Raw genomic sequence first — 24,016 nt, 5'->3', positions numbered from 1 at the left:
CCCAGACTTACGAACTGCTGCAAAACACAATTACCTCTAGATACAAACTCTCTTTAGGACATAAAAATCGTTGCTACTGAGAAGGCTGAATTGCACCGGCAATTTTGTAAATATTTGAGTGATATATTTCCTTTTGGATAAGTTTTCATAGCCTTGGAAAGCTGTCTTGTTTCTTAATGCTTTTGTTGTTGTATTTTTTTTTCCCTGAATATCACTTGTGGCCTGATTGTGGTTTTCAATCATGCTTAGTAAATCAGACTATTGGACAAATGTCATTTATGAAAGGCTCAGAACTGTACGGCCTTCTGCTGGCATTAAGAAGACTGTCTTTATAGCATGTTTCTTAAAGACACGAGAGGAAAGAAAAACAAAATTCAGGCACATCCTGTGCTTTCCCCCCAACAGGGTCAGTTTTTCAAGTTAGAAGTTGTAGACAAGTCTTCCATTTTTAATGAGGGCTGATACAAAGCACCTTCCTCTTTATATGCTTCGATCAATGAAGGGAATCACTCCGGATAATCTGGGCTGCTTTTCACACCAGCAAAACGTTACCAGATGCAGAAAGTTTCTGCACATTTTCTAGTTAGGCTTTATTACCAAGTATGATGGTGAAGGTTGTTATACCCTGTATCGATTTTCTACAAGTTCTAATATTGGAGATAAGGAGAGTTCTTCCATCAGCTTCCAGCAAACAGAACGGAGACTGTTAAAACTCCTCATAACAGCTTCCAAAGGAAGACAACAGTGATGGATTATAGACTGCCCTGGAAGTGAGGAAACACCCTCATCGAGCAAACAGAAAGTGTTCAAATACAAGCCACACTCATGAAATGGGAAATAGGCTTTTTTTCCCTCTCTTGTTCTTCCTCCCTCCTCCTTTCCGTTTTCTTTTTCTTCCCCCTTCCTTTACTTCCCCCATCCTTCTTTCTTCCTTCCTTCCCTCTTTCTTTTCTTCCTTCCTTCCTTTCCCTCCCTTTCTTCTTTTTTCCTTCCCTTCCTTCCTTCTTTCCTTTTCTTCGTTCCTTCTTCCTTTCTTCCTCCTTCATTCATTTTCTTCCTTCTTTCCTTCCCTCTCTCCTTTCCTCCCTCCCTCTCTCCCTCCCTCTCTCTCTTCCTTCCTTCCTCTCTCTTTCTTTCTCTTCTTTATTTCTTTCTCTGTTTCTATCTTACCTCAGTTAATTCTTATAATATTCTATGCATTGCCTATTACCAGTCTGCATTCTACAAATGAAAAAAAAAAGTTTAGGGAGACTAGGTTTCTTGCTTCAGTCATGTACCTTGTGAGTGGAGTAGCTGAGATTTAAGCCCAGGTCAAATTGGAGTCTGATACACAACAACCAAATACCGTCAATTAGACTGCTTCTCCCAGCCGTCTTTCCCCATGTTCACCCTAAGAATCCAACACTCACAGGATTATAGAACACTGCCTGAATGTGTTCCTTGAGGTGCTCCAGCACCATGACATAGATATTTGAGAAATGAAAAGATGAAGGATATACTTTCACCATGTCAACAGCATGAGGAATTATGTTTGCACCCTATGCATGCGCACCTAAAGAAATAATCTTATTAAAGGCACAGAAAATTGCCAGGGAGAGCTTGGGGCCCAGTAGAGAAATATTCAATAAATGTGGACCAAGTAAACCGGGCAAAAAACAAAATAAATTGGGCAAAGAACATGAATTAGTATATGAATTAGTATATAACAGAGGAGAAGTAACGAAACAGAGGAGAAGTAACGAATCAGTGCAAATATTAAACGGAAGAGAATTTCTTTTTTTTTTGAGACAGAGTCTTGCTCTGTTGCCCAGGCTGGAGTGCAGTGGCACCATCTCAGCTCACTGTAACCTTCGCTTCCCAGATTCAAGTAATTCTCGTGCTCAGCCTCCCAGGTAGCTGTAGCCGGGACTGCAGGTGTGCACCACCACACCCGGTTAATTTTTTCTATTTTAGTAGAGACATGGATTCACCATGTTGGCCAGACTGGTCTGGAACTCCTGAGCTCAGGTAATCCACACGCCTTGGCCTCCCAAACTGCTGGGATTATAGGTGAGAGCCACTGTGCCCAGCCAAGAAGAGAAAAAATTTTAATGTTTCTAGTAATCAATGCAATGCAAAATAAAATAACAGGATCCCAATTTTCATTGATCAGAATGACAACTCTATTTTTCTAATCATAATACCTGCAACATTGAAAATCCTGGTGGAGATGAGGTGAGTGAAGGGTTGGTAAACATGCATCTTCATGCACCACTAGTGGAAGTGAGAATTGATCAAAACTCAGTGGAGAGATTTACCCATTCATGCCTCTACTGTTGTCTGAGCACTGACCGTGTACCAACCCTACTGAGTGCTGGATCCATAGAAATAAATGGGTCCAGTGCCGACCCTTTAGGAGCTTATATTCCAGTGGGGGAAGAGAGACATTAATCCAATAATTTCACTGTGAATGCATTAGGTTAGCCCAAAAGTAATTGCATTTTTTGGCCATTATTTTTAAATGCTGTTATTTTGAAATGGCAGAAACGGTAATTACTTTTGCGCCAACCCAACAGAATGGCAAACTAAGAAAACGTTGTGAGAAAAAAATATGTACTAAATGTAAGCATAACAAAGCCTTGATTCGGCTGGGTAAAATAAAGTAAAAGCATTTAGATAAATTAAAAAAAAAAAACACAGCAAAAAACCCAAAAAGCAGAAAAATAACTTCCCTGAGGAACTAGTTCTATGTAAAATAGTATTAAAAAGACAAACCTTTGATTAAGCAATTTTGTGTGAATCAAATTTGTGGAAATAATCATTAATGCCTGTAAATATTCATGTCCAAGCCTTTTAGTTATTGTGTTGTTAATAGTAACAGAAATTTGGAGACAATAACCAGCAATGGGAGAATATTTAAAGTATGGTATAAACACACAAGGAAACCCCATGCGGTATTTAAAAATCAGGAATTCAAAGACTCTTTAGGGACATGGTTACATGTTAGTATAGCGTTAAGTGAAAAATACAGCTACAAAACTGCACACATCGTATGATTTTTTTTTAATTTTTATTTTTTTTTGAGACCGAGTCTCACTCTGTCGCTCAGGCTGGAGTGCAATGGCACCATTTCGGCTCACTGCAACCTCCGCCTCCGAGGCTCAAGAGATTCTCCTGCCTCAGCCTCCTGAGTGGCTGGGATTACAGGCGAGTGCCACCATGCCCAGCTAATTTTTGTATTTTTAATAGAGACAGGGTTTCACCATGTTGGCCAGGCTGGTCTCGAACTACTGACCTCAAGTGATACACTTGCCTCGGCTTCCCAAAGTGCTGGCATTGCAGGTGTGAGCCACTGTGCCCGGCCACACATCATATGAGTTTAACTGCTTTAAACAAAGAAAGGAAATGCAATACAAAAGCAAGACTTCAAGATTACAAGTGAGTCACAATATTTTTGTTATGCTTGTCTGTGATTCCCCAAATTTCTGCGATGAATCTGTGTGAGTTCATTATAAAGAAAGTAATTGTAAAACAGACAATAGATTCACTTCTTGAGTATACATCGCGTGGGTGGCACCAGGTGGATATAGGTAAATGTAAAAACAAATGAAGCATCCCCCTCTGGTTGAATGTAGTTTTTGCTCTGAAACACTTATCATTTTCTGTTTTGAATTAGACTTACTAGTGCACCCACACTATCTGACTGTGAGCTACTCTCTCCTATTAGTGGGAAAGAATTGAGATTGGCAGCTAACACTGGCAGTGTTACCTATTTAATTAATTTAATTAACATTAAGTAACTATTTGCCAGGTCCTGTTGTAATTTCCCACAAATACTAACTTCTTTATCTGTCATAAAAATTCTGTGAGGTTGTAAAATGGTGCAACTGCTGTGGCAAACAGTTGGGCTGTTCTTTAGAAAGTCAGACATTGAATTACCACCTGACTCAGCAATTGCACACCTAGGTGCCATTGATCCTCCTCATGCATAGATTCTGTATTTGTAAATTTGCCTTTTTGCTGAAATCTATCTGTAACCTTCAAATCAGTTCTTATGGCTCTTTTAGGGTTATTTGTGCAGACGTGCATATAGTAACCCCAAATTTGAGTTGCCTGATGCACACATTCCCAGGGAAGTTTGCTCTACCTTCTAATTTCAGCTCTCATGCAGAGATGCCCACCGGGTGGAGCTGGTAATGGGTAGCGCAGAACAGTGCAAGAAGCGCTGGCTTTGGGGCCAATTATACATAGAGTTTGAAGCACAACTAAAGCATCTGTCGGTGCGGTGTCCTCAAGCAAGTCACTCAAACACTTCGTTTTTATTTTATTTTTATTTTTGGAGGTGGAGTTTTGCTCTGTTGCCCAGGCTGGAGTGCAGTGGCCCGATCTCAGCTCACTGCAACCTCTGCCTCCTGGGTTCAAGCTATTCCCCTGCCTTAGTTTCCCAAGTAGCTGAGCCTGCAGGTGCGTGCCACCATGCTGGCTAATTTCTTTCTTTTTTTTTTTTTTTTGCATTGCATTTGTAGTAGAGACAGGGTTTTGCTACACTGGTCTTGAACTTCTGACCTCAGGGATCCGCCTGCCTGGGCCTTCCAAAGTGCTGGGTTTACAGGCGTAAGCCACTGCACTCGGCCACTCCAGCACTTCTGAATTTTATTTTCTATTTTGTAAAATAAAATAGAATCTCCCAGGATGAGTTACCACACACAGACACACAGACACACACACACACACACAGACACACACACACACACTAGATAGATGATAGCTTGCTAGCTATCTAGATAGATAATAGATAGAGAAACAGATATATTTCTCTTAGCTAGGATTTAGTATTTGATAATTCAGTGTTTGCTATGTATTAATAGAACATAACTACTGGGAATAATGAGAAATAACTGTATATACTCAAAAGAATTTAAAAGAAGTATTCAAATACCTGTGCATGAATGTTCATGGTAACATTATTTACAATGGCTGAAAGGTGGAAATAACTCAAATATCCATCAATGTTTGAATAGAAAGACAAAATGTACATATCCAAATAATGGAATATTACTCAGCCATAAAAAAGGGATGAAGTACTGATGTACGTTACAATGTAAATGAATCCCAAAAGCATTATGCTAAGTGAAAGAAGCTAGATGCAAAAGGTCACATATAGCATCATTCTACTTATGGGAAACATCCAGAAGAAAGAAATCTATACAGATAGAAAGTAGATGAGTGGCTGGCAGGCGCTGGGATGGAGGAAATGGGGAGTGACTGTTTAATGGATACAAGATTTATTTTAGAGGTGATTAAAATGCTTTGGAACTAGATAGAGGTGACAACTTTCTGAATGTACTAAATGCCACTTATTTATACTTTTAAACATGCTTAATTTCATGTTGTGTTTAACTTAATCTAAATTTTAAAATGTCCGGTGATGTAGGGATTAGTATTATGCCCATTTTACAGGTGAAGACATCAAGTCATTTGTTCAAGGCATCCAACTGCAAGAGGAGGAGCTGGGATTTGAACCCAGGGACGTTGACTTGCAGTATAGACGCGTTTGACCACAATGACGTGCTCTCTCTGCAGACTAGTGTAGATTTTGGTACATAGCATGGTCTTAAAAGATGTAAGTTTCTTTCCCTTTTGCTCCCTTTGCAAGCAGGAACTATATCTGACTCCACCAGACTTTCACATCGCCATTCGCAAGAGAACAAAGAGAGCAAATGCGTGTATTTGTCTCTTTCTCTTGTCTCCTGCTTAAGGTTTCTGTTCTCTCATCTTCTATTGAGCCACGCTTTAAAAATACACTCCATTGTGAAAATTGAACATGCAGAAGGAAATGTGGCATGGAGCTGAAGAAAACATTCATGATCAAAAAAAAAAAAAAAATTAAAAGGTCCAGACCTGCACTTTTCTAAATGATGTAGGAGAAAAATAATGGGCCAGAGGAGAGAAGCCTGATGTGTTCCCTCGTGTCCCTAAGATTTATCACCTACACACGCAGAATGCTACAGCAAGGAGATCTTGTGACCACAGCAATAACTCACAAGCCAGCCATGCAGCCTGCTACTTGCTGATAGCACCTGCATCGCGTGGCCCCCAGATCATCTGGAAGCTTCACGCTGGGTGGGGCCTTATTTCTACCAACTCCCTCCCGCTTCACTTCAGACTCACTGTTTGTCTGCAGCAGTGGTGCAGTGCATTGGGAATTGGAGAAGACAGTGTTTCCGTTGTCAATTTTACCGTGGGTAGAAAAAATGTGCATTCTCTCTCACAATAGTGATGAGGCAGGGTTGGGGGGAGACAAAGCAAAACTGACAAAAACAATCCCAACTGTTAACCTTCTATTTGGGGAAATATTTCACTCTCCTCTGAGGGGGAAACAAGGCACAAATAATTAGAGAGTTTTAGGGATGGAATATTCCTTAAAAAACTGGCACTGTATTTGCAGGCATTTTAATGCATTTTTTTAAAATACCTAGAATAGGCCAGGCATGGTGGCCCACGCCTGTAATCCCAGCACTTTGGAAGGCCGAATTGGGTGGATCACTGAAGGTCAGGAGTTTGAGACCAGCCTGGCCCACATGGTGAAACCCTGTCTCTATTAAAAATACAAAAACTTAGCTGGACGTGGTGGCTCGCACCTGTAGTCCCAGCTGCTAGGGAGTCTGAGGCAGCAGAATGGCTTGAACTCAGGAGGTAGAGGCTGCAGTGAGCCAAGATCATGCCAGTGCACTCCAGCCTGGATGATGGAGCCAGACTCTGTCAAAACAAACAAACAAACAAACAAAACCAAAACCCTAAAATACTCTTCATCTAAGATGCCCAAATAGTAAATGGATTACAGAGAATCAAACAGATATAAAATAATAATTTGGTTTTCAGTGGTGCAAAAGAATTTGTATCATTTCAGTATAAACATACTTGCATGAGCATAAACAAAAAAACTGTCATTATAAATGCAATTGAAAATAATTATAAACACATGGATGATGAAATCTATTCTGGTTCTCCTTCCTTCCTTCCCATAATGTCCTTGTAAAATGAGAGTAGTTTCTTGTATACCTCTGATTCTTGCATATCAGGAAATACGGTAGTTCGATATCTGAGCTGTTTCTTGTCTCCTCTTTATAACGTTTTCTGCAATCATTCATTCATTCATTCAGTATTTACCATGTATTAAAGAGGTTGTGGGAGCTTATGACTTAATAAGGGAGACACATAACCACGGGGAACAAGTTTTAATATCTGCTGGGCTCACCTGTGTGGGTTTTTCTGTTCCTCTCATTAGCAGGTTCTGCTCCCTGGGCACAGAGGAGGTCATGAGTTGAGAGTGGGCTGTGCGTGCATCCTAGAATCTCAGCCTTCTTGGAGCAGCGACTATTATATGCTCTGGTGGGCTCTCTGGAGTTTTCAGGAAGAAGATGAGATATTTTACCAAGAATGTCTGTTGAAAATACTCTTTGCCTTCCAACAGCCTTCACCTGAAGCAACTTTGAAGATTCTAAATAACTTCTACAGCCTAAATCAGATAATGTTTAACCTAAGGGGCAGGCGAAGTCCCACTGCCATCACCTCTGTGGTGTGATTTCAGGAACCCAGTCAGGCTGCTTCCCCAAATACGATGACCAATGTCTGAGATGATACCAATAGAGATGGATTTCTTCGGGATATGGATTGCTTTCATTTTTGATTTTCTCCACTCTTCAAGGGAAAACAAAGATGTGATAAATATTCATTCCAGCTTTTTCATTTGTTATTGGCTGGCACCAGGGCCTCTGCTGTGAGCTCAGACAGGCCATGCCTGAATCCGGTCCCATCACAGGTGTGTGATGCTGGGCAGCTCTTTTGTTTAACTCCTGAAAGTCAGAGGTCTCTTGTAATGCATGCTACATGGATTTGTTATGTGGATTGAAATAGCTGATGGGTTTATAGATTTAGAGCAGTATATTGAGTTCTTGAGCAGATATCTCAGTTCTGTCCCTTAATAGTTGGGTGATCTTGGTCAAACCTTCTGTACCTGAGTTTCAGTGATGTGCTGGAACCAGCTTGCACTGGTTCACGAAGGCTGATTGTTGTATACTCATAAATTTTGTGAGCAGGTTGTTACATTGTTGGCAGCTTAAAATTGGCCACGGTGGGAGCATTTACACTAGAGAAATCAGCAAACACTACACAGCAGGGCTCTGCCCCCACCTCCCCAACAGAGAACTGATTCACCAGCACACTATTCTTCAGTTCCTTTGTGAATTTCTTGCAATAATTATAATCAGATAATTTGTGTAAACGTCTCAGCACAGTGCCTGGCCTTTAAGAAGGCTCTCATTAAAAGATAGTTGCTACAATTACTACTATACTACTACCAACAATAATTAAACAATAATTATGTCATTATAAGATCTTGAACATAGTAAGTCCTTGAAAAATCTCAAACCCTTCCCTATTTATTCATTGTTACCCCTTCCCTATATATTCATTATTACCCCTTCCCTGTATATTCATTATTACCCCTTCCCTGTACATTCGTTATTACCCCTTCTCTATGTATTCATTATTACCCCTTCCCTATATATTCATTATTACCCCTTCTCTATATATTCATTATTACCCCTTCTGTATATATTCATTTTTACCCCTTCTCTATATATTCATTATTACCCCTTCTCTATATATTCATTATTACCGCTTCCCTATATATTCATTATTACAATTTCTACCAAAGGTCTAAGGGAATCTGTGTAAACGTCAAGACTCCGAGGGAACAATTTGTCTCCAATCTCACTTCTGACTCTGAAACACAGTGGAACTTTACTCCTTCTCATCAACCATAATTCAGGGCAGACATCTGGACTTATGCATGGCACATGAACAGAAGCCAAATATCATCTCCAACCTCACCATCTCCATCCGATTAAGTGTTTCTCTTTGGCTGCCACGCCAGCTGGATGACTGGGGGTTCTCTTCTTACCATCATGAAGCCGTCAACACCCATGGTGGGCCCTGCAAAGTATAAAGGACAGTTTATCCACAGAGCAGTGGCAGCATCATTGTTTATGAAACGATAACTGCTTCAGGTAGCAGCAAGTTCCAACATTAGCACAACAAAAGCTTTGAGCTGGACCATCTGTTGCCACGTGGACAGTCTGGTGGGCTTGCCAGAGCCATTTATCCGTGTCGAGTACATATCCACACTGGCCAGTCCTCACGCAGAGCAGAAAGGAAATTTAAAGAAAGGCCCATCATTTATCACTGTAGACAGCTGGGCTGGAGTGTGTGTGGGGAAAAGCAAGAGAGATCAGATTGTTACTGTGTCTGTGTAGAAAGAAGTAGACATAGGAGACTCCATTTTGTTATGTACTAAGAAAAATTCTTCTGCCTTGAGATTCTGTTAATCTATAACCTTACCCCCAACCCCATGCTCTCTGAAACGTGTGCTGTGTCAACTCAGAGTTGAATGGATTAAGGGCGGTGCAGGATGTGCTTTGTTAAACAGATGCTTGAAGGCAGCACGCTCCTTAAGAGTCATCACCACTCCTTAATCTCAAGTACCCAGGGACACAAAAACTGCGGAAGGCCGCAGGGACCTCTGCCTAGGAAAGCCAGTTATTGTCCAAGGTTTCTCCCCATGTGATAGTCTGAAATATGGCCTCGTGGGAAGGGAAAGACCTGACCGTCCCCCAGCCCGACACCCGTAAAGGGTCTGTGCTGAGGAGGATTAGTAAAAGAGGAAGGAATGCCTCTTGCAGTTGAGACAAGAGGAAGGCATCTGTCTCCTGCCTGTCCCTGGGCAATGGAATGTCTCGGTATAAAACCCGATTGTATGCCCCATCTACTGAGATAGGGAAAAACCGCCTTAGGGCTGGAGGTGGGACCTGCGGGCAGCAATACTGCTTTGTAAAGCATTGAGATGTTTATGTGTATGCATATCTAAAAGCACAGCACTTAATCCTTTACATTGTCTATGATGCCAAGACGTTTGTTCACGTGTTTGTCTGCTGACCCTCTCCCCACAATTGTCTTGTGACCCTGACACATCCCCCTCTTTGAGAAACACCCACAGATGATGAATAAATACTAAGGGAACTCAGAGGCTGGCGGGATCCTCCATATGCTGAACGCTGGTTCCCCGGGTCCCCTTATTTCTTTCTCTATACTTTGTCTCTGTGTCTTTTTCTTTTCCAAATCTCTCGTCCCACCTTACGAGAAACACCCACAGGTGTGTAGGGGCAACCCACCCCTACAGAGTGTGGGAAGAGAATACTTTTTTTTTTTTTTTTATCCTTGAGAAAAACAAAGACCCTGAAGATGGGCAATGCTTGCTCAGCTCCTAGCTTCTTTCTAACCACAGTCCCTCCAGCTTCCTCCTTTCTTCTTGCGTTTCCAGATTGTAGAAGAAGGGTGTAACCATGGATGCCTGCTTCCCTACCCCAAAATATCATGACCAGGTGGCACCTGGGGTTCTTTGGCTTCGAGCTGGAGAGAGCATGTTTATTCGTGCCTCCTGAAAGGGAACTCTAAAATAGAACCTTTCTGCCATTGTCCATGAAAGCATCTGCTGCAAAGATTGCTGACTTTGGAGCTCACAGACCACAGCGTGTGTGCAGGTCCTGTCTGCTGCGTCCTGAGTTAACTGGGACATGTGAACTCGCTTCTCGGAACCTCAGCTTCATGTTCTGCAACATGGGGATAATAGTGCCGTTTGTACACACAAGGTCATATTCCAAAGCCATAGTCTCCCTCTCCATAGGAAATATTGAACAGCATATTTCATTTGGTATAAAGGCAAGGATATTGAGATTATATATCAGGACATTTTCTTTAATCTAAAGTTGATTCTTTTTTTTTCTGTTTTTAAAAGACATGAAAACATTTTCATACACTCCGAAAATTATTGTGAGCCGTAGGCACTGTGCCTACTGTACCTAATGGATAAGTTGGCTCCGTGTGTGTGTGTGTTTGAAATGAAATACCGTGGATGAAAGCATCCGGCATAATTGTTAGCAATAGCACAGCAAGGTGGTTAAACTCACAGTCTAGAAACTGGAATTTCTTTCTTTTTTTTTTTTTAAATAGAGTCTCTCTCTGTTGCCCAGGCTGGGGTGCAGTGGCATAATCTCGGCTCACTGCAACCTCTACCTCCTGGGGTCAAGTGATTCTCCTGCCTCAGCCTCCCAAGTAGCTGAGATCACAGGCATGTGCCACCACGCCTGGCTGATTTTTGTATTTTTAGTAGAGACAGGGTTTCACCACATTGCCCAGGCTGGTCTCGAACTCCTGACCTCAGGTGATCTGCCCACCTTGGCCTCCCAACGTACTGGGATTATAGGTGTGAGCCACTGCACCCAGCCAAAACTGGGGTTTCTGACTTCAAATTCTGTCTTTTTTGCTTACAAGCTACGTGAGTTTAGACAAGCTACTTTATATGAATATATAATATAGAGATAATTAGATAATTAGACTTGAGATATATGTATATACACACACATATATATCTATACGCACACACATACATACACACAAATGTTCCTTGACTTAACGATGGCATTACATCCCAATAAACCCATCATAAGTTGAAAATATCGAAGTCAAAAATACATTTTATATATGTAACTTCGTAACCAAACATCGTAGCGTAGCCTAACCACTTTAAACATGCTCAGAACACTTAGATTAGCCTACCTTTGGGCACAATTATCTAGCATAAAGCCTATTTTATAATGAAGGGTTGAATATCTCATGTAATTTGTTGAATGTTGTACTGATGGTAAAAAACAGAAGGGTTGTATGGGTATTTGAAGTATGGGTTTCTACTGAATGTGTATTACTTTTGCACCATCATAAAGTTGAAAAACCATAGCTGAACCATTGTAAGTTGCATCATGGTAAGTTGGGGACCATCTGTATAATATGAATATATATACAGATGGCCTATAAATATATATACAGATGGTCCCTGATTTATAATCTATATAACTTACATGTATCTCTCTATATATGAATAGATATATTTCTCATAGCTATTTATATCTATGAATGTATATATTTCTGACATATGGATATATATGAAATGGTTAAAATACTACTACTATGAGTACTACTACCTACCTACCTCAAAGGGTGATTGTGAGCATTGTATGAATAAATTAATAAAAATATTTTAAGGCAGTTGCCTGGAATCTAATAATTCTTTGCTAAATGTCAGCTCCTCTTCAGCTCACTTTGCTAACTGCGTTATTTATAGGACAGTGAGCACATTGAGAAGAAGCAGACATCGTGGTCAAGAGCAGAACCTCTGGAGTCAGAAGAACTTCATGAATAAGGAATAAATTACCTGAGACAACATTACTGCTGCATGGAGTTCTCAACTGAAGGCATTCTGTGCTGCGGCATTTTTTTAACCAAATCCCATTAAATGACCAGTGTTGCACATATACAAAATTGGATAGGTGGCTAATGATGCATGAGCACATTTTATAGGAATCCACTTGACCTGCAAGGGATCAATTCCATGATTTGATTAAAGGCTTAACCTTTCAGAGTCCAGCTTTGACCCTGTGTTCACAGATAAATCTCCAAAGCTGATAGATTCTGACATTTAAGACTTGGATTTAAGGAAAGGTGATATCCCATTTTCCATTTTTCTAGTAGAAATGAAATAGACCCAGCTGCGCCATTAATTAGCTGCATCATTTTGTATAACTCTCATATGCTCTCTTGGCCTCAGTCTCCCCATTGGTAAAATAATAGAGTTAGGCTTAGGAAGCATGTTTACAACTTGGCTTCTCAGATTCTTGGGGTTTTATAAAGGACTTCCAGTGGCTTCTGGGGAAGTCCAGTGGGCAAGACCCTGTCCCCACTTCTCTCAGAAATCTCCATTGTCATTGCTGTAACTTCTTGGATTTCACACAAGATATGAGTTGAACACAGAGTTTTATGGAAAAAAATAGGGTGCACCAAACCCTAGACTAGATGACATCTCTATTTAATACTAATGATGATATTTGGAAGCCGTGGGCCAAGTGTGAGATAAAACTGAACAGGAATACACATAAGATTCTGCACCCAATCCCCTAAAGGAAGTCCAAGTAGAGGATAAAGGATGTGCTTAGAGAGACACAAATGAGAGCTACTTAGGTGTTTTGGCTGGGGAAAAGGTCAGTATGAACTAAGATTATGATGTTATCACAAGAAAACAAGTCAAAGTGGCTAACAGTAAAAGCAACGCCAGCACTGCCATAGTAAACTGATGTGTTTGACGGCTAAATTAACAGGAAGAACACCTTCAGAACCAGAAAGGTAAATTTCCCTTCCTACTTCCTGGTGGTTAGACCGTACTGTATGTATTCTGACTTCATGTCATTGCAATGGTATTTCATGGTCTTTGATTAGAAGCTCCAGGAATATTCACATGCCTTCCAATCAAACACATCTTCTCAAAGTTCCCTGGGAAGTTAAAAGACAATAGTCATCTGTTAAAAATCAAAATCATCCTAAGCATCTGCTTCCAAGGTTTGGTGATCTGTTCTAAGTGTGTTGCATGGATTATTTTGTTAAATGTCATTTAATCTTCATAGCCACCATATGAAGTAAATTCTATTATATCCACTTTTTTTCAGAGGACGAAATTAAGGCACAGGAATGTTTAGTAACTGGATCAACATTTCACATCAAAAGGCAGAGCAAGTGAAAATACGACTATGAATTTGCAACTACCTAGGTCCAGGCCAAAGAACCTCTTTGAAGGAGCCATCTTGAAGCTTTTGGCTTTATCTTGAAGCCTAGGCAAGTTCTTTACCTGCTCCTTTAAACATTAATATGAATTGATGTATCTTTCCATGTATTGCCAGCCACATGATACAGGAACTTAAAGCAATGGCTTTTTAGATTATGCAAGAAAAGAGAGTAACCATCCTGAATGCTCCTATGAAATCAGGCAGCCATGAACATTTTACTTTCTGTCAAATGATGGCAGAAATGCAAAGGAGAGAATAACTCCTGGGTGCATGATCTTGAACTTCACAGTGACCTAGCCTACCGTGAACAGGGTCAAATAGTATCTGCATCCTGAACCATGAGATCACTCTTCTCTCCTCTTTTGAATAAGTCAGAAATTAGGTGACAGAGAAGCAAGACAATGAGGTGGAAACCTCTCTTATTGCCTCCAGCTGCATTTATTCCTGAAAGCCACTTTAAGTGGACTATTGCAAAATCAAGTATGTAGAAGGAGGATGGAAGTCAGAACTTGATCCTGAGGCAGTTATCCTATATCTGAAAAGCTGTGACTGGGGAATGAAAGATGAGTCTTGTTGAGGATGGATGAGAGGTAGAGTCACAGCCAATGAATACAGAAAAGCAGATTTAGGTTTGCGGTCATCAAACCAGTCCAGCAATGGAATGGGCTGCGTTGTGAGGTAGTAGTCTTGGGCATGGAAGCTATTCCGTGACTAGATGATGCCAGGCAAGGATCCTATAGATCAGCTCTATTCAAAATGTGGTCTGAATATTGACACCAGTCTACACATTGTTACTGGTCTGCAGCGAAGTAAATTCAGAAATTGAGAGCAAGAATTTATAAGGTTTTCTAGCAATTTGATACAATAATTTTCTATTTGTTGAATCAAATAATAAAAATAATTGAAATAACTTAGGCTTGAATATTGCACATTTAATTTCATTCTTCAAATAACTTTTTTTTTTTTTTTAATAATGAACCAGGTGAGGTGCCTCACACCTGTAATCCCAGCTCTTTGGGAGGCCGAGGCAGGCAGATCACGTGAGCTCAGGAGTTTGAGACCAGCCTGGCCAACACGGTGAAACCCCGTCTCTACTAAAAGTATAAAAATTAGCCAGATGTGGTGGCAGGTGCCTGTAATCTCAGCTACTTGGGAGGCTGAAGCAGGAGAATCACTTGAACCAGGCAGGCGGAGATTGCAGTGAGCCAAGGTCAAGCCACTGCACTCCAGCCTGGGCGACAGAGCAAGACTCAGTCTCAAAAAAAATAAATAAATAAAATAAAAATAAAAAAATAAATAAAAGCATTGGCCTGTTCTTCCTCATAGATATTTGAGAGGCACCAGTGTGGAGGGTTTTTTGTTATTGGGTAGAAAGGCTGGGCTGCACCCACATTAAGGCCCCTTCCTAGTAAGATTGAATTATATACATTTTAATGAATAACATATGAAAATTGCCTAGCACAGTTCCAGGCACATAATTGGTACTCAGTACAATCTTTCTTATTTTAATTGCATAATTGTTATACCTTGAAAGTCAACCATTTGTGCACAAAAATGAAAATATTATATTTACATGGGAGGAAAGTTGGAAACTTTCAATTGCAAAATCTTTGCATCTGCAACTTCTGATACACGCCTGCAAAAATACACATGTATACATATGCCTGCTTATGCTTTCTTTACATCGTGGGCCTCCGAAAATAGCCTTTTCTGCCATGGGTTTTGCTTTTTATCTGTATAGCACGCATCAAATGGGTTGAGGTCAAGAGATCGCCACTTAGAGATATCCTAGGGTTTTTTTTTTTTAACATTTCTATTTGAAGTGAACTTTAGAGGCAAACATTGATATTTGAGTCCCATTATGACAATGACTCATGAAGGATCTGCAAACTGACCCCTGGTCCGGGACAAAATGGGAGCGTGAATAGCAGTCTTGCTGGCCACTAGGTGGCGACCTCGAACTCTCCCAGCTTTTACTGCAAGCGCCGTTCAAACGCACTGGCTGGAATGAGTACCGCACACACAAAAGATCATCAAAGGGAAGTGAAGGATGGACTGGAGCAAGTTGGAGTGAATTATCCTGACCGCACCTGGCCAAGGACTTTATCATACACTCAGTGCGGAAGGCTAGAAACGATGCTTATAATAACTCCATAGTCAAATATTTCTGCTTTCTCTTGCACAGTGTGGGTTTCATTACGCTCAGCTAAGCCTGTTTTTCACAATTTTATACAAAATCCCAAATTAAAGAGGCCTGTCAGTTATTCCTACCTACCTATGTATCTCACTAATGAGTTTCGCCATCATTCAGGTGACCACTGTCAGGCCACCTTATAAAATTGCTGCTTTAATTGACAAGGTTTTTTTTTTTTTCCTGCTCAGGTGTGTGCGATATTGCATATGCAGGCAGCGAATTGGACACAGCTGAAATCAAAATGAATGTGTGTGCTACATTTGGACAGATGAGACCCCAACCTGCCACGCTTTGCTGAGTGATGGTTTTTACATTTGAAGGGAGCCGTTCTCCATCATAAAGTTGGAAGGCGGCCGTGAGCCTAGCCACTTTTGGCAGGTTTGAGGAGTCCAGATGTCCATCATGAAATGGGTTATTTAATGTACCTGTGGGCTGTTTGCAAAATGGGAATGCCTCCCTTTTTGTAAACATCAAGTGGGCAAAAATGCCAAATGTGTTTGCCCTCAACAGCAACGTGTACATGAGTATTAAGTGCACATAAAGGGTTCTTTCTATTCAATTCGATGCAAATCAAACATTTGCATTTCAATTAATATCTACTTAATTCTATTTCCTACACAGAAAGAGTGCTATTAGGTCACTCTGCCAGACTGTGGTGTCTCGTGCACTTCTTCCCTATGGGGCAATTATCAGACTTATCTGTCTGTGCATTTCTTGAATGTGGCGCAATTCTGACCTTACCTTCATCCTAACTCATCATCAAATCCAACTTAACCAAGACTAACTGAAAAAAAAAAAAAAAAAAAAAAAAAAAAAAAAAAAAAAAATGCCTGGCTTACATAAGGTGCCTTCAATATGTGATTTGGACAGAAACCAAAATATAAACCTTTTCAGGCTTCCAACGTTCAATGCTTTACTCAAGCTCATCGCCCTAAATCCACGGCTTTTAACCTTTTGTGTGAGTGTGAATGCATCTGCATGGGTGTGTGAGCCTTACCTCTTTGAAAATGTTAAAGCAATGGATTTATTCCCCAGAAAAAAAAATGTAGCTATGTACATGTACTCAAAAGACTAAAGAATTTTAGGGGGTTCAGAGATCTTTTTGGTGTCTATGGATTAAGACCTGTGCTTTATGGATTAAAAACCTGTGTTTTATCTTCTGCGTATGGCTCAAATTGCATTGAGAACTCCATTTTTTTTCTTTTCTAAAATAATTATTTGTAGAGACAATGTCTTGCTATGTTGCCTAGGGCTGTTCTCTAACTCATGGGCTCACTCCTCCTGCCTCGGCCTCCCAAAGTGCTGAGATTACAGGTATGAGCCACCACACCTGGTGAGAACTCTGTTAAAATGAAAACAAAGGCCGGGTGTGGTGGCTCACTTGTAATCCCAGCCCTTTGGGAGGCCAAGGTGGGAGGATCACGAGGTCAGCAGATCGAGACCATCCTGGCTAACACAGTGAAACCCCATCTCTACTAAAAATACAAAAAAATTAGCCGGGCATGGTGGCCGGCACCTGTAGTCCCAGCTACTCAGGAGGCTGAGGCAGGAGAATGGCTTGAACCCGGGAGGTGGAGCTTGCAGTGAGCCAAGATAGCACCACTGCACACCAGCCTGGGAGACAGAGTGAGACTCTGTCTCAAAAAAATAATAATACAATTAAAAAAATAAAAATAATGACAGACATCTGACTACCCATCTTCTGTTCTCATTCAACTTGGCAAACTGGATTTCATTAATCTCACTCTTAGAATTTAGACCAAATACTGTCAATGAACGACACCTTCCCTAAAGGTTCCAGTGGAATAGACAAATAAATTGAATGTGTTCAACAGTTACATTGGAACAGAAAGGTTATTTTGATTAAATGCCACAGGTCAACATGCAATCCTTCTGTAGTGTCCTCTGCACTCAAACAAACCCTCGGCACATAGGAAACCACTCCTCAGGGAACTCAGAAGGATTATTTGAGACATGCTGTTTCTCTATGCCTAATAAATACTAACCCATCCTCAAAAGAACCCCGTCCAGAGAGCCCAAGTCTGAGGAGACAGTGGGAACAGCATACCCAGACTACACTGACTACTATAATCTAACTATTTAACACATTCAATTTTCCTGTCTATTCCAACCTCACCAATATAAAACCAGCCCCTTACACAAGTTCCGCCTGTTCCATATTTGGTGGCCATTTTGGCCTCCCATTACCCTCTTCTGAACCCACAGAAGGTGCCATTCATACCACTTAGGGGCAATTATGATTGCAGTGTTTGAATTACTGCTTTCCCAATTTCTTCTCACCACATGGGTCCAGGAAGAGTCATTCCTCTTCTTGCCCTCTATACCCCCAATTCCTGGTGGATCTAACACCAGGAACACCAAATTCTTGGTCTCAGTTTCATCTCAGTAACTAAGCCAATTTTGGATGAGGATAGAAATTTATAAAAGCCTCAGCCGAACACGGTGGCTCATGCCTGTAATCTCAGTACTTCGGGAGGCCAAGGCGGGCAGATCACTTGAGGTCAGGAGTTTGAGAAAAGCCTGGCCCAACATGGTGAAACCCCTTCTCTACTCAAAATACAAAAAAAAATTAGCCAGGTATGGTGGCTGGCTACTGTAATCCCAGCTACTCATGAGGCTGAGGCACGAGAATCACTTGATCCCAGTAGGCAGAGGTTGCTGTGAGCCGAGATTGCACCACTGCACTCCAGCCTGGGCAGTAGAGCAAGACTCTGTCTCAAAAATAAATAAATAAAAAATAAAAATTACAAAAGCCTAGTTTGTACCCATCTTGTGGGAGCTCTGAATCTGTCCCCCTTTTTTCCTCCCAGCCTAATTCTAATCTACCCAGAGGCTGCTGAGACGTCATCACCTCCAGGCAGCCTTCCTTGATTTACCTTCCCTAACTTAACACAGCCCTCCCTCTATGTTCTCACGGTCCCCTTGCCTCTGTTTGTAGTACAGTGCTATTACACCATGTTATGGTTGTCTGTTTATAATTCTGTCCCTCCACCAGACTGTGACAGTTGAATCATACTGTATCTGGACAGAGATTGTGTTTTCTTTTCTCTGAGACCCTAGCACATAGCACAGTGCCCGGTACACAGTAGTTGCTTTTGTAGTGATTGTGAAAGTCATAGACGAAAGCTTCTCATTGGGTTTTCTGCACTGCAGTGTCAATCATTGCCAGCTCCTTCCTCATATCTCCATCTTTTAGGGACACATTTTCTCCCTGTTTTTCTGCCTCCCAGATGGAAGCCTGAAATGAATCAGCCTCTGCTAGCTACTCCCCTGCCTGGGTTGACTGGACGAACTGCTTTCTCCTGAATCATTTCCATAACTGTGATATTTTCTCAAGTCCCTCCCTCTGTCCAAATAAGCAAGTTTTCTTCTAATTCCATCATCCCCCCTTTCTCCAGTCTATGAGTTCAAAATCTAAGATGCTGCTATTTTAACTCACGAGACTTTTCCTTGTGAGTCTGACAAATTGATATCTTCTTGTGCCACTTATCTTTGTTTTCATAATTCAGTACTGGGCACCTTTTGGAATAGACTAATTCATCTGCTCACGGACTGCGGATTTTCTCTCCCTTCACCCTGATGTTGACTTTTCTAGGAGGAGGTGTTGAGAAGGGAGCCTTCCATTTTCTGCAGAGGATCTGCAGGGTTTATCCGCAGCCAAGCCCTAAAGAATCTCTGCAAATCAGCTTAGACATAGAACAGTGGTTAAGAAGCATCACTGTGGACAAGCACCACCGGGAAATGCTCAATGACGCGAGGTGTCCGTGGCCCCCTTCAGAGATTCAAATTCAATACTTCTTAGGAGGGTTCAGGAATCTGTGTATTCGATAAACACTCTCAGAAAATTCTGATGACAGTGTTGTGTGGCTCACAAGTTTACAAATGTCATTGTAGAATAGCGATTGGCTTTATCTCTGGTGAAGGGCAGGCAATAGGAGAAGTCCCCATGGCAGTTCCATCTAAGTAGGTTAGAGAATGGTCCATGTTGGAAATTTGCATTTCACCTAGGAGATGGCATGCATACTGGCACGAGCACAGATTTTGGAGACAGATAGGAGAGAATCCTGCCCAGGGTACACACTGGCTGTGTTAGTTTGAGACTGCCGCTTAACCCTTTCTTAACACCAATTTGCTGATATGTAAGCTGAGATTTATTTTTCAGTGTTTTTTATTTTTTTTAATTTTATTTATTTATTTATTTTTTTGAGATGGAGTCTCGCTCTGTCTCCCAGGCTGAAGTGCAGTGGCGCAATCTTGGCTCACTGAAAGCTCCACCTCCCGGGTTCACGCCATTCTCCTGCCTCAGCCTCCCGAGTAGCTGGGACTACAGGCGCCCGCCACCACGCCGGGCTAATGTTTTTGTATTTTGTTTAGTAGAGATGGAGTTTCACCGTGTTAGCCAGGATGGTCTCGATCTCCTGACCTCTTGATCCGCCCACCTCGGCCTCCCAAAGTGCTGGGACCACAGGCGTGAGCCACCTCACCCAGCCACTTTTCAGTGTTTTTGAGAGACTCAGATAAGAAAATTGAGTAGTTACCAGAGTTCCTAGCATGTAGCAGGCATTTGATAAGTGATGACTTATTTTCATATTATTATTGTTAATATCCCTTTAAATTCCAATGACCAGATTCTAGTAAAAAGTGAATTGGAACAAGGAAGATCTTCCAGAATCCTACGCCCTCCTCCCCACTCCACTTTCTGCTTCTCCCTCCTGGTTTTGGTTCCTCTTTAAGTGGTAATGCCGGTTTCAGATGAGATGTTCCCTGTCTTGTATTTTAAATACCGTAGGAAGTCAGATTTTGACAGCTCTCGTCCGCACAAATGCGATGCCGGGAGAAGGGATGTGGAGGAAAGCAGAGGTTCTTTCTCTGCCCGCGTGGAAGTGTGCAAAGTGGCTGATTAGCCAGATATTTTTAAAGTTTCATAGGTGTGAGGCAGCCTCCGCTAACAAGCCTTTTAGGGGATTTCTCAAATCTAAAGTGAAGGGTGCCAAGAGTGGAACATGACCTTGGGGCTTTCCTGTACATGTTAACTAATATTACAAAGAAGACTCCGAAAATGCTCTGAAGTCAACTTCTGCAGGAGAGGGGGGAACAGGTGAGGCTCTGTGGACCGGGAAGGGAGAGTTAATGATGGCTGCTATAAATAGATTCCTTCCGAAGACTGGGGCAGAATATCATGGGTAGTTTGCTAAGAGCATAAAATGGAGGGCTCTGAGCCAGAAATCAGCTCAAGAGTCCTTATGACACTGTTTTATTTGGGGACAAAAGCTAAGGACAATCATGCATAGTCACCAAAGCACAAGGCTGATGGAGCTCCAGCCCCACTGCCCCCTCCTCACAGTAGCCCCCACTGACAACTCTTTCAGGAACCAAATCTGTCATAAGTGAAGAGCTGCTGGCACATCGACTCACACCTAGTGGGTGCCAACCCTCGCACCTGACAGTTCGTTTAGACTAATTCCATCCTCCCTTTGAGATTTTGGTGGAGGCATCCTGTTTCTATTTTATCGACTGTGTAACTTTTGCCTTACAGAGCCCAAGAAATGTTCTAAAGCTCACACCAATAAGATTATGTTGGTGCAAGAGTAATTGCAGTTTTGTCGTTACTTTTAGAGGCAAAAAACGCAATTACTTCTGCACCAACCTAATTAGTGGCAGGCAGGATTTGGACTCAGGACTCCCTGTATTCCTAGCAGCTGACTTATTATGACATTGATATAAACCCTGAGGCCTACTACGTCTGCAGAATGTGCCATCCACACCACTTAGGTACAATGATAACTGCAGTGTTTGAATTACTGTTTCCCCAATTTCTTCTCACATGGATTTAGGAAAAGGCAGTCCCTTTCCTGCTTTCTATTCCCCAAATACCCAGTGTTAGTCTCATCTCAGTAACCAAGCCAATTTTGGATGACGCTAGAAATTTATAAAAGCCTCATTTCTAACATCTTGTGGGGGTTTGGTTCTGAATCTGCAGGTGAGTAACCAACTCTATCATCAGGCAACAGGCAATGATTGACATTGCAGTGCAGAAAAACCAACAAGAAGTCTTCATCCATGGATTCTGTGATCACTACAAAGCAGCCTCCATGTGCCAGGCATTGTGCTATGTGCTAAGGTTTCAGAGGAAATAAGGCACAATCTCTGTCTTGACACAGTATGTGTCAACTGCACAGCCTGGTGGAGGTACGGTAGCAGAAACACAGGTGGATGAGACTGGCTCTTTGGAAAAAAAATAAAGAGGGATGCCACAGAATCCAAGGGGATTAAAAAGGCAAAACTAGGATTCCAACAGGGGTCAGATTCCTCTCAATGGGGTGGGGAGAAACGCAGATAAAGGCTGGACATGGTGGCTCATGCCTATAACCCCAGCACTTTGGGAGGCCAAGGCAGGTGGATCGCCCGAGGTCAGAAGTTCAACACTAGCCTGGCCAACATGGTGAGACCCCATCTCTACTAAAAATACAAAAACTAGCCAGGCATGGTGGCGCACACCTATAATCCCAGCTACTCAGGAGGCTGAGGCAGGAGAACGGCTTGAACCAGGGAGACGGAGGTTGCAGTGAGCCAAGATGGTACCACTGCACTCCAGCTTGGGTGACAGAGCAAGACTCTGTCTCAAAAAAAAAAAAAAAAAAAAAAAAAGAAAAAAAAAAAGAGAAGAAATGCAGATACAGACACACTGTGCATTGCAGTTGAAGATCCAGGTAGCAGGTGATACAAGGGAGGATTCATGGAATATATGGCTATCGCAGTAGGATCTTTCCTGGTAGGCAAAGAGTCATGCCTGAGCAAGCAAGCAAGCATTAATGGCAGAGCTCAGGGTTGAATGGAAACTTTTGTTGCCGTGTCAGGAAACTGAGGCCAAAACTAAGGTGAATGGACTGAATCCTGATGGAACTGGGGAAAAGAGTGTCAATAAAAGGTGTGATTCAAGGTTCCTTGGGGATGCAGCAGGCTCAGTGCCAGGTGCTTTTTCAGGCCAACCAGCTGTTGAACTTGAGGGTTTCTATATCTTTTTGGATCCAGTCTTTTTCTTTCTTTCTTTTCTTTGGAGACTGAGTCTCTCTCTATTACCCAAACTGGAGTGCAGTGGCATGATCTCAGCTCACTGCAACCTCTGCCTCCCAGGTTCGAGTGATTCTCTTGCCTCATCCTCCTGAGTAGCTGGGACTACAGGGTGCACCACCACGCAGGGATAATTTTGGTATTTTTTTAGTAGGGATGGAGTTTCACCATGTCGGCTAGGCTGGTCTTGAACTCCTGACCTCCAGTGATCTGCCCTCCTCAGCCTCCCAAAGTGCTGGGATTACATATGTGAGCCACCGTCCTTGGCCTCTGGACCCAGTCTTAATCCCCGTTGTATACCCTCAGTACTTAGCACAGTGCCTGAAACATAGTGTTACTCAGGCTCCTGCTTCACTGTGAGTCTCCTTCACCAGTGTGCATGGGGAGGAAATAGGAGCCAGGAATCCTAGGTTTAAGAGCTCATTCTAAATAATGGCATTTGCAGCAACCTGGATGGAATTGAAGACCATTATTTCTAAGTGAAGCGACTCAGGAATGGAAAACAAAACACCGTATGTTCTCCACTCGTAAGTGGGGGCTAAGCTATGAGGATGCAAAAGCAAAGAATGATACAATGGAAAGGGTGGGAGGGGGGTGAGGGATAAAAGACTACCCATTAGATACAGTGTACACTGCTCAGGTGATGGGTGCAGCGAAATAATTAGAAGTCACCACCAAATAACTTAACCATGCAACCAAACACCACCTGTTTCCCAAAAAACTACTGAAATAATAATAAATAAACAAATAGGTTGGGTGTGGTGGCTCACGCCTGTACTCCCAGCACTTTGGGAGGCTGAGGCTGGTTGGATCACTTGAGGTCAGCAGTTCAAGACCACCCTGGCCAACATGATGAAACGGCATCTCTTCTAAAAATACAAAAAATAGTTGGGTGTGGTGGTGTGTGCCTGTAATCCCAGTTACTCGGGAGGCTGAGGCACGAGAATCACTGGAACCCAGGAGACAGAGGTTGAAGTGAGCTGAGATTGTGCCACTGCACTCCAGCCTGGGCAACAGAGGG

The 24,016-nt window shown here is 42.0% G+C and overlaps 3 annotated features.

The window, feature by feature from the left end:
• Positions 6,894 to 8,093: an enhancer, noted in NCBI's record as "BRD4-independent group 4 enhancer chr16:8230888-8232087 (GRCh37/hg19 assembly coordinates)". NCBI's record gives its function as "activates an origin of replication core promoter dependent on BRD2, P300/CBP, MED14 and CDK7 cofactors, and independent of BRD4, by STARR-seq in HCT116 cells {active_cell/tissue: HCT116}" and the evidence as "EXISTENCE:reporter gene assay evidence [ECO:0000049][PMID:35650434]".
• Positions 8,661 to 9,599: an enhancer, noted in NCBI's record as "OCT4-NANOG-H3K27ac hESC enhancer chr16:8229382-8230320 (GRCh37/hg19 assembly coordinates)". NCBI's record gives its function as "activates a minimal SCP1, AML or CMV promoter by ChIP-STARR-seq in naive H9 embryonic stem cells {active_cell/tissue: H9 hESC(naive)}" and the evidence as "EXISTENCE:reporter gene assay evidence [ECO:0000049][PMID:30033119]".
• Positions 9,600 to 10,537: an enhancer, noted in NCBI's record as "OCT4-NANOG-H3K27ac hESC enhancer chr16:8228444-8229381 (GRCh37/hg19 assembly coordinates)". NCBI's record gives its function as "activates a minimal SCP1, AML or CMV promoter by ChIP-STARR-seq in naive H9 embryonic stem cells {active_cell/tissue: H9 hESC(naive)}" and the evidence as "EXISTENCE:reporter gene assay evidence [ECO:0000049][PMID:30033119]".

Source organism: Homo sapiens, chromosome 16 (assembly GCF_000001405.40).
Source record: "Homo sapiens chromosome 16, GRCh38.p14 Primary Assembly".
Classification (NCBI taxonomy): Eukaryota; Metazoa; Chordata; class Mammalia; order Primates; family Hominidae; genus Homo; species Homo sapiens.
The sequence above is the reverse complement of the archived record's forward strand: the minus strand, read 5'-3'. Positions and strand labels throughout refer to the sequence as shown.